This window comes from Homo sapiens, chromosome 20, assembly GCF_000001405.40.
Source record: "Homo sapiens chromosome 20, GRCh38.p14 Primary Assembly".
In the NCBI taxonomy this organism is placed as follows: domain Eukaryota; kingdom Metazoa; phylum Chordata; class Mammalia; order Primates; family Hominidae; genus Homo; species Homo sapiens.
The window spans coordinates 10377195-10388871 of NC_000020.11; the positions used below are offsets into that span (position 1 = coordinate 10377195).

An 11677-nucleotide genomic window follows, 5' to 3' on the forward strand; every position below is an offset into this window, starting at 1 on the left:
TGCACTCCAGCCTGAGTGACAGAGCAAGACCCTGTCTCAAAATAATAATAACAACAACAAAATGTTTGTTGCTGTTTTACACTACCGAGTAGCAGGCAGTACATTTTGTAGCCAATAGGCAATTGAAACACAGAAATTTCCCATTACTTAAATTTTGCTGCCTGATGCCATCCTTTGAAATAAAAACTGAATGCACCCAATAAAATGAATGTGTTGCAGGAATATGGCAAACCCTGGATTCCATTCTCAGCTCTCTCATTAGCTCCCTGCTAGATCTTAAACAAGTCTTGCCATCTTTTTGGCTTCTGGTTTCTCATTTGTTAAAGGATGGGGCTGATGTGTTAAAGGAAGTTCCTATCCTTCTTGGTTTTTTCTTTCCTACTTACTAAACTTCCATGGTTTATACTCATCTTCCATCACAACAGATAGCAATGAAAGATTGGTTCATTTGACATTTCATACTTCAGTTAAAAGAAAAGAAAGGTCTCAGCTCACAGGATAATAAATCTTTATTATCCATTTTGAGGAAGAAAGAGTAAAATTGTCAGCAATTAAGACACAAGCTAAGATTTGAGCAAATGGGTTTGAAATATTCTAACCTGAATAGGAAGCACTTTTCACTCCAAAAATGTTGTCAACCCTTACCTACATGTTCTGCTTTGGACAATTACCTGTCACGGATGATTTTCCTTCTATCTCCCTTAGGCTGAGGATGAAACCAAGCCCTGTGATTTCTAAGCCAAGGCCTTCAAAGTTAAGAAGATAAATAAATTTGTGCACTTTCTGCTCTTCATGCACCTCCAGTGCTCCCTGGGCTCGTCCTTTTCAATTGCACTGATGGCAACTGATTTCACTCTTGTCCTTGCTTTTCCTCTGGGTAGATTTTAAAGCAAGATAAACTAATAAATAATGAAGACAGGTGAAGCAGGCAGGAGAAATTTTGTTTTATCATACACAAAGTGATTTATGTTGGTCATTAAGAATATGGATTTTTAAAGAATTTTCCTTTTATTTCTCTCACAAATGATAGATATTTTATGGCTTTTGCTTAACTTTGCTTGTTGTTGCCAGGTGTTTTTAACTCAAGCCTATTTATGTGATGTTTGTATGCTAGTATGGTTTCAACAATTTTTCCATCCAATGTAAGAAATTGAAGATTTTATATTCAGAGATTGTTAAAAAATATTGATTTCATCTATATCATCTTGTTCATGAGCACTGACTGTGGATATGAGTAGCAAGGATATGCATTTGAGAAGCTTACTTTTTTTTTTTTTTTTTTTTGACAGAGTCTTGCTCTGTCGCCCAGGCTGGAATGCAGTGGCGTGATCTCGGCTAACTGCAACCTCTGCCTCCCAGGTTTAGGCGATTCTCCAGTCTCAGTCTCCTGAGTAGCTGGGATTACATGCATGCATCACAACGCCTGGCCAATTTTTGTATTTTTAGTAGAGATGGCGTTTCACCACGTTGGCCAGGCTGGTCTCAAACTCCTGACCTACAGTGATCCGCCTGCCTCAGCCTCCCAAAGTGCTGGGATTACAGGTGTGAGCCACTGTGCTCAGCTGGGAAGCTTACATTTTTAAAGCATTTTAATGTATGTAAGCATAAACACTTTCCTTTCTCCCCCTCCTCTATCAAATACATCCCACATTCAATTCTATTTACACATATACATGGTTACCTGATCTATGACAAAAGTGGCTTTGCAGGGCAGTAAAGAATGGCCTTTTTATTATGTGCTCTCTCTCTCTCTCTACATATATATACACATGTATGTATATATATAATTTGAGCCTAACACGAATATCAATTCCAAGTGAATTGCAAATTGATATATGAAAGGTACAATAATAAAACTTTTTTTAAAAACAGAACTAATTGAAAAAATTGGACTATGTTAATATTACAAACTTCTGTTTATCAAAAGGTCCCATAAAAGGTGTTAAAACACAAACCACAGAAAAGACACAATATTTGCAATGCATGTATTCAACAAAAGATGTTAATCCAGAATATATAAAGAACTTCTACAAGTCAATAAGAAAATATGACAAGGTGATCTGGTAGAAATTAACAAAAGATTTGAACAGATAATATCTTATGAAAGATAAATTCAAAGAGAATATCTAAGTGGCCAGTAAATGTTTGAAACTGTGTTCAACTTCTTTAGTCACCAGTGAAATGCAAATTAAAACCATTTACAAATTAGAATCCACCAGAATGACTAAAGTTAAAAAAGACAGAAAATATCAAATATTGGGAAGGATTTGGAGCAACTGGAATGCTCACACTCTGGTAGTTGTGAGTACTTCTTTGGCCACATCAGCTCATGCTGACTGTCAGCATGTAGTCATGTTCTAGCAATTCCTCTCGGAGTAATGGATACCCAACAGAAAGAAGTAGTAATGCTGACCAAATGATATGTATGAGAATGCTGTTAGCAACACTATTCATAATAGTCCCAAACTGAAAAACAACCCAAATGTCCATCAATGGGAAAATGGAAAGATGAATAAATTGTGGTCTATTACACAACACAATATAAAACAACAATGATAATGATACACAAAACAACATGGATAAATGTCACAAACATAATAATAAGTGAAAGATATTAGACACAAAAAATACTTACTGACTATTTGATTCTATTTATGTAAAGTACAAAAACTGAGCAAAGCTAATCCATGTGTTAGAAGTCAGGATAATAGCTTCTCTTGGGAGGGGGAGGCAACTGGAAGGTGACACAGAGGACGAATTTCCTGTTTCATCTGGCTGCTGGTCACATACACGTGTTCAGCTTGTGAACACGCATCAAGCGGTATGTTTATGTGCACGTTTTTCTATGTATGTAATAATACCATAAGGCATAAAACGAAATGCAACAGAAATACTAACCAATCTTTTGGAAGGTTCCAGCTCAGAACGTAATTACAGGTATTCTGTCTAATAAGTGTGCTCTTAAAAATGATAGTTAATCGCATTTGGGTTGTTTATTTTAGTGCTCAAGTGGAAACCACTATTTAAAGGAAGGCTGAAGCAAATCCTTTGGTAAATGAATAATTATTTCTGATGACATTTCAGAGTTCAGATGTTCTTAAAGTGTGCCTCTTCTAAAATCACTTTTCATCCCTTGACTCTCCTATCAATGGGTGCATTATAAAATAAAATCATAGTTCTGTTCCTTTGGGAGTCTAATCATTTTAAGACCTTTCAAAAATTTCTTAATCATGACTCCATTTTTCAATGTTTTTTCACCTGCATTGAGCCAAGGTGCCCAGAAATGTTCTTTTGAGTTTCATAAATTATAAAAGCACTTAGAGATAGAAATTCAAAGGCATGCTCTATAAATATTTTTATGTCAAAGATATTATCAGAAATGTGAGATGATTAACATGGCCACTCAACAATTTAAAAGAAAAAGAGCTTTTCTAGTACTAAATCATAGGACTTGGATAAATTACTACTGTTGTCTTGTGAAAGCAAAATATTTTACACTTTTCAAATATATACAGGAATAGAGGATAGAGTATAATGAGCCCTCAGGTACCACTCATGCAGTATCAACATTTATAGCTGATCTTGTTTTTTCCACAACCCACATAAATCCTCATTCCCCTCACTAGATGATTTAAAGCAAATCCCAAACATATTTCATTTGCAAAAACTTCAGTACACACACACACACACACACACACACACACACACCTTTTAAAGACCACAATACCATTACTAATATTAATTGATGAAAATAATTTAATATTATCAAATAGTGAATCTACTATCATTTTCCTCATTGTCTCATGTTTTTTTGTTGTTTAATTTTTTATTCAGGATCCAGAGACTATATGTTGCATTTGATTACTGTATCTCTTGAGTCTCTTTTAATCAGTAGACTTCCCACCCTGTCTATCTTTTCTCCCAACAAAAAGAAACAGGCAGAAAAATTAAAATGAGCTGGGCGCAGTGACTCAATCCTGTAATCTCAGCACTTTGGAAGGTGGAGCGGATCACCTGAGGTCAGGAGTTCGAGACCAGCCTGGCCAACATGGCAAAACCCTGTGTCTACTAGAAATACAAGAATTAGCCAGGTGTGGTGGCAGGCACCTGTAATCCCAGCTACTCGAGAGGCTGAGGCAGGAGAATCGCTTGAACCCGGGAGGTGGAGGTTGCCTTTAGCCGAGATCTCTGAGCCAAGCCTGGGAGACAGAGCAAGATTCCTTCTCAAAAAAAAAAGTAACAAGTTGACTTTAGTACTATAATTCTATTAGGATTCACATTTACTATTGTGCAAATACAGTTTCTTCACAGAATTGAAAAACTAGTATTTCCATCAAACTCTATGTCCCACCAGAAGTCCACTCTGAAATGGAATTATATCACTATCCCATTAATAAATTGTTCTATCAGCAAATATTTATTGAGGGCTTACTATGTTCGACACTGTGCTCAGCACATTACACTAATTATTTCACTCAATTCCCACAGCACCCTCATGTGGTAGCTATTCCCATTTTACAGATGATAAAACGGAGGCACATAGAAGTTAGGTAATTTGTCCAGTGTCAATCATTAGGAATTGAGAGAATTGGGGCTGAAATGAAGTTTATTTAACATCAAATCCATGCTTTTTTTTTTTTTTTTTTTTTTGAGACAGGTTCTCCATCTGCTGCCCAGGCTGGAGTGCAGTGGCGCAATCATGGCTCACTATAGCCAAAACCTCCTGGGCTCAAGTGATCTTCCTGCCTCAGCCTCCCAAGTAGCTGGGACTACAGTCGTGCACCACCACACCTGGCTAACTTTTGTATTTTTTGTGGAGATGGAGTCTCACTGTGTTACACAGGCCAGTTCTGAACTCCTGAACGCAAGGGACCTGCCCGCCTTGGCCTCCCGAAGTGTTTGGATTACAGGCCTGAGCCACTAAGCCCCGCCTGTTAAATCCATGCTCTTAATGATAACATTGTTCTGGGAGCCTAAGCATTTAGAAAATACTCCAGTATTAGAGAGTAAGGGGATGCCACCATTCAGATCTGACTGCTGTTTTTTTCAGTAATGTTTCCCTTATGAGGGAGGCAGAAAAGTTAAATGACATGAGTGACAGCATCCAGTAGCTGATAAGCAGCAGAGCCAAGTCTTCTCACTCTAGGCTCTTGTTTCCACCATGTAAAATTATAATAAAGATTTGGGGTTTTTTTATTTCTTAAATTTTCGATCATCTTTTAAAGTATTTCTTATTCTTGGAAGCTGCAGAAGTAAAACAATATTCAAATAAGTAAAATTGTTCAGTGATTATTTTATATGAATTCTTTGAGCTGGAAGTGTTTTTAGACATTTTAGCACCACTAGTTTGAAACAAAATCATCTTTTAAAGGTGAGTTCAACAGGAAAGGCAGCTGACCCAAAAGGGTGAATTACTCAGAGTTATAGCTTTAGGCCTTAAGTTAGCATTGTTAGTCCTTGTAGAAGTTTGGTATATATTGGGCCAGGGGCCATGGCTTACGCCTCTAATCCCAGCACTTTGGGAGGCCGAAGCAGGCAGATCACTTGAGGTCAAGACTTCAATACCAGCCTGGCCAACATGGTGAAACCCCGTCTCTACTGAGATTACAAAAATTAACTGGGTGTGGTGGTGTATGCCTGTAATCCCAGCTACTCGGGAGGCTGAGACTGGAGAATTGCTTGAACCCAGGAGGTGGAGGTTGCAGTGAGCTGAGATCGTGCCATTGCACTCCAGCCTGGGTGACAAAGTGAGACTCTGTTTCAGGAAAAAAAAAAAAAAAAAAGTTTGGTGTATATTTTTTCTAAACTGGGCAAGGCAATTACTGTTCACCTCTAAGACTCAGCCCAAATACTATTTCCTGGGCGACCTTGCTTTGACTGACCCTTTTTTGCCCAGATAGAATCAGTTACAACCTCACATTCTTTCTCCTGGCAGCTTGAACATGCATGTAACCCACAGCTTCACCACAGCACTTATCACATGGTACTGTGCCAGATGTTAAAGTGTCTGCCCGTGACCCCCACCAGGCTGATCGTTTTTTGAAAGCTACCTTTTTTGCTCTTTTATCATCTGTCCCCCATGTGCAATGCACAGGAGGTACTAAATAGTTTCTGAATGAATGAAATAAATACAACGAGTCCTTGCTTCAGTATTCATGTAATGGTCCTAATCTCTATAATACAAGGGCAAGGAGTATGTACAGTTGGGATGGAGTGGAGAGAGAAGTGAACAAACTCAGGTCCCTATCTATGAGGCAACATAGTCTGACAATTGCTGCAAACCAGACCAAACACAGGCAAAGATGTGGGAGACAGGAATGGGTAGTTACTGCTTGTATTAGCCTGTTCTCACACTGCTAATAAAGACATACTTGAGACTGGATAACTTATAAAGGAAAGAGGTTTAATGGACTCACAGTTCCACATGGTTGGGGAGGCCTCACAATCATAACTGAAGGCAAAGAAGAAGCAAAGTGACATCTTACATGGTGGCAGTCAAGAGAGCTTTTGCAGGAAACTCCCATTTATAAAACTATCACGTCTCGTGAGACTTATTCACTACCATGAAAATAGCACAGAAAAGACCTGCCCCCATGATTCAATTACCTCCCACTGGGTCCCTCCCATGACACATGGGAATTCTGGGAACTACAATTCAAGATGAGATTTGAGTGGGGACACAGCCAAACCATATCACTGCTAATCAAGGCATAAAGTGGTAGAACCACTTTGGCAATTCATGATAAAGATTGCACCAGGGGAATTATTCTGCTAGTTCCTCCCCATCTCCTGTTTCCTGCTGGTCAAGTTTCACCCCAAAGAGAGGGGAGGCTGGTGAAGGGTAGAGATCTGATAAGGAACACAAGATTTATTTGTAGCTCAGAAACATCTGCAAAATTTCTGCCCTTGGGAAGATTTATTCTAATAAACATTTCCAATCGGCTTGAATCCATTTCTAAAAATACTAGTTTTTTTTCATTAATTAAGTAATATATGCTCACTGCAAATAATTTTAAAAATACAGAAAAGTTGAAAGATAAAGTCACTCATAATTTGATCACCCAGAGAAAATCATAATATTTTTTAGATAATTTTTGTCTTTGTAGTTAGGAATAAAACTCTGAACAATGATTAAATTTGAAATATACATCTAAATTTTTCAATCATCTATGTATGTTTAAAATGTGTGAAGTGATATGGGGTTGTCCAGTGTTACACAGGATTTCTAAAATTCTTGGTAATGGGCTGGTATAACCGAACAAGATGAAAGTTACTTGCTGCGTAGTTTAGTTGAAGCCAGACGATAGTCTCAATCATTCATAATTTGAAAGTCAATATATATTTTGACTGAAAATATGAATAGTTGACCATTTAATCAAATGTTTTCTGTTTTATGAAGTATATTTTTCTAGAACTAAATAATTTGTTTTTATCTACAGAGTGGGTATGCCAAAGTCATCATTGTTTTATTCATTTTGACATTAAATTCCATTAAAATTATGCAATTTTGTGGGCAAGTCAGATAATTCTGGTCAACCAAATTTTTGAAGACGAGTAATAATACACTCTTCACAGAAAAGTCTAGTTGGCTATACCTTGAATTCCGAGCTGCACAATGGCTGTCTGATGCACCTTTGAGCATATTTATTTTTGTAGCAATTGAAATATAAAACCAAGATAAAGGCACTGGTTTCTACTTCACTGAAAATAAAAGCAATATTGATTTTTAAAGTAATACTCATCAAACCTTACATTATTCTGTTTAGATGGCAAGCTGTTATTAACAGGAACTAAAATGCTATTCGTAGCACATACTACAGGGTCATCATTAACTGTGAGACTAGTATTTTTGTAGTCTTTCAGACATACACTCAAATTAGGCTTGGTTATTCCTGATATTTTCTAAACTCATTTGATATACTTTAGGACGTAAATCTCAAACAGAAAACCAGATGGACCCTTCTTGTTTAGAATTGGCAAGTCCATCTTATGTCAATAGTTTTTTCAGAGAATTCATTTGAACAGTACAATTTTTATTTATTTTTTTTTTGGAGATGTAGTCTTGCTCTGTTGCTCAGGCTGGAGTGCAGTGATCTTGGCTCACTGCAAACTCTGCCTCCTGGGTTCAAGCAATTCTCCTGCCTCAGTCTCTCAAGTAGCTGGGATTACCAGTGCCCACCCCCACACTCAGCTAATATTTGTATTTTTAGTAGAGACCAGGTTACACCATGTTGGCCAGGCTAGTCTCGGATTCCTGGCCTCAAGTGATCCACCTGCTTTGGCCTCTCAAAGTGCAGGGATTACAAGTGTGAACCACTGCACCGAGCCTGAACAGTAAAATTAAATGTTTTCACATTTTGTAAAAATAAAATAAAGCCCATAAATCAAATTACTATATATTATTTATTTTCTTGTAAATTTAAGCATTTGAGGACATTACTAATTATATCCCCAAAAAATATGTTCTTTAGCAGGGAAGGGTGTAAGTTTGAAAAACTTGTAGCTGCAGCTGGCAGGGTTTGGGGGCTACCGGCCATCTGAGTTTTATTAAAACTGCTGGCCGCGAAGCCAGTCTGCAGCCAAAATGTCCAGCAGAAACAACAAGCTGCCCAGTAACCTGCCGCAGTCACAGAATCGGATCAAGCTAGACCCACCGGCCTGCATTGAGGAGTTTCTACAGCAGTAAAATCACTACAGATCCAATGTGGAGATTTCCAAATTGCAACCAAATAAACCCAGCAAAGAACTAGCAGAGCTGGTGATGTTTATGGCACAGAACAGCCTAAATGTCTGCATCTTAATTATAGGAGAGAAAGAGAGAAACTTCAGAAGAGCCTTTGCTTTGCTACAGATTAGTCACTGCTACCCAGAGTATTTAAGTAATTTTCCTCAAGAGGTGAAAGAGCTTCTCTCCTGCAATTATACCGTATAAGATCCAGATCTTCAAATGACATTTTGCAAAGCTTTGATCTTGCTGAGAAATAAGAATCTCATCATTCCATCAAGCCTGCTAGAACTCTTCTTTGAACTTCTACGTTGCCATGATAAGCTTCTGTGAAAGACTTTATACACACATATTGTGACTGATATCAAGAATATAAATGCAAAACACAAGAACAGGAAAGTGAATGCAGTATTGCAAAATTTCAAGTACATCATGTTAAGACATAGCAATGCAACCGCAGCCAAGATGTCTTTAGATGTAATGATTGAACTCTACAGAGGGAACATCTGGAATGATGCCAAAACTGTCAATGTTATCACAACTGCACATTTCTCTAAGGTCACCAAGATATTAGTTGCCACTTTGACATTCTGTCTTGGGAAAGATGAAGACGAAAAACAGGACTGTAACTCCGAATCTGAGAAACAAAAAAAAAAAAAACAAGAAAAAATCAGAGATGTTTAACTTTTCAGCCATTCACTTAATTCATGATCCCCAAGATTTTGCAGAAAAACTACTAAAGCAGCTTGAGTGAACTAAGGAGAAGTTTGAAGTGAAAATGATGCTCATGAACCTCATCTCCAGATTGGTGGGAATTCATGAGCTCTTCCTCTTCAATTTCCATCCTTGTTTGCAAAGGTTTCTGCAGCCCCACCAAAGAGAAGTAACAAAGATCCTCCGTTTGCTGCACAAGCATCTCATCACCTAGTACCCCCAGAGATTATTCAATCATTGCTTATGACTGTGGCAAACAATTTGGTTACCGACAAGAATTCTGGAGAAGTCATGACAGTAGGAATCAATGCTATAAAAGAGAAAACAGCTCGATGTTCTCTGGCCATGACTGAAGAACTTCTCCAAGACCTGGCTCAGTATAAAACACACAAGGATAAGAATGTAATGATGTGTGCTAGAACTTTGATTCAGCTCTTCCGAACACTGAATCCTCAGATGCTGCAGAAGAAATTCCAGGGTAAGCCTACTGAGGCCTCCATAGAAGCAAGAGTACAAGAATATGGAGAATTAGATGCTAAAGATTACATTCCAGGAGCAGAAGTTCTGGAAGGTGAGAAAGAAGAGAATGCTGAAAATGATGAAGATGGATGGGAAAATACCAGTCTCAGTGAGGAGCAGGATGCTGATGGTGAATAGATTGATGTGCAACACTCTTCCGATGAAGAACAGCAAGAAATCTCCAAGAAGCTGAACAGGATGCCCATGGAGGAGTGGAAAGCCAAAGCTGCAGCCATCAGCACCAGCCAAGTTTTAACTCAGGAAGACTTCCAGAAAATCCGCATGGCCCAACTGAGAAAAGAACTTGATGCTGCCCCTGGGAAATCCCAGAAGAGGAAATAAATTGAAATAGACAGTGATGAAGAGCCCAGGGGTGAATTACTTTCTCTTCAGGACATTGAACGCCTTCATTAAAAGCCGAAGTCTGACAAAGAGACAAGACTAGCAACTGCAATGGCTAGAAAGACAGACCGAAAAGAATTTGTGAGGAAGAAAACCAAAATGAATCCATTTCCCAGTTTGACAAATAAAGAGGAGAAAAAACAGAAGAACTTTATGATGATGCAGTATAGCCAGAATGTCCGGTGAAAAAATAAGCATTCCTTCCGAGAAAAACAGTTGGTGCTACGAGATGCACTTTTGAAAAAGAGAAAAAGAATGAAGTAACTTCCCAGCAAGTTTTCCATTCCAAGAAGAATGCTAAGTTTGTGTCATTACTCTGAAAATTGGTAAATCAAGCATGTTTGTTTACATTAAAAAGTCCAGAAGCACTGTATTGTGAAAACTGCTGAAAATGTGGCAGCAATTTGGTGTTTTTATTTTGGAGACGGCTAATGGTGGGAATGTTAATGTAAATAGTGGTGGTAGTGTAAAATCAATTCATTTATCATTCATGCAAAAAAAAGTATTGAGTGCCTGTTAATTGTCACTGTAGATATAAAACCAATGAGCTGTAACCCCTTCACTCAAGGCATTGACAGCTTAGCTGTGGGGGTGGACACACATATGTGTATTTACAGCGCAGTGTAAATAGTTCTCTAGTAGAGGTAGCTCCATATTTCTATGAGGTCACTCAGGCCTTTTGGACTAACTCTGTGGGGATAGGAGTTATATATTCTTATAAAACAAAAGAAAACAGGACAATGTTATAAGAGTAAGAGGTTCTTACTTGTACATAGGCTTACCTGCTGAAAACAGGCCCTTGTTGTACAGATTTTGGGTACATAATTTAACTCTTTTAGTCAATACAAAAGATTTAAGTGACCCCCTCTTTTTTCTTTTTTTGAATGCCATGTAAAGGATTTTTGGTTAAGACCTCACTTTTAAAACTGCCTTAAGTATAAATAGTACCTTTGGAATGTATTTAGTTCATCATTTGAGCAGCCTTCATACTGGTTTCCTCAGCCTTCCTTCAGCCTGTAATATTTTCAGCCCACTGTTTACCTTGTCTCAATAAAAGCTTTCTAATGCAAATTGGAAAAAAAAAAAGAAAGAAAAAGAAAAAAAAGAAAAAGAAAAACTTGTGAAAGAATTTAGCCAGTTTGCTTTAGGCAGACAGTAAGGGAAGGGTCCCCGGAGAATCTGCCACTGGCTCCACAGCATGAGATGCTTTGTGCAGATAAGGGAACTTGCAAAGGGGGATTGCCTAAACATGTCCACGTGGAAAATTCCATTCCGTAACATATGCACAGCAAGGGATATAAATTAATATGGAGTGGC

At 38.0% G+C, this 11677-nt stretch overlaps 1 pseudogene; it reads left to right on the forward strand.

The window, feature by feature from the left end:
* SDAD1P2 (SDA1 domain containing 1 pseudogene 2) lies at window positions 8491–11431 on the forward strand (annotated as a pseudogene).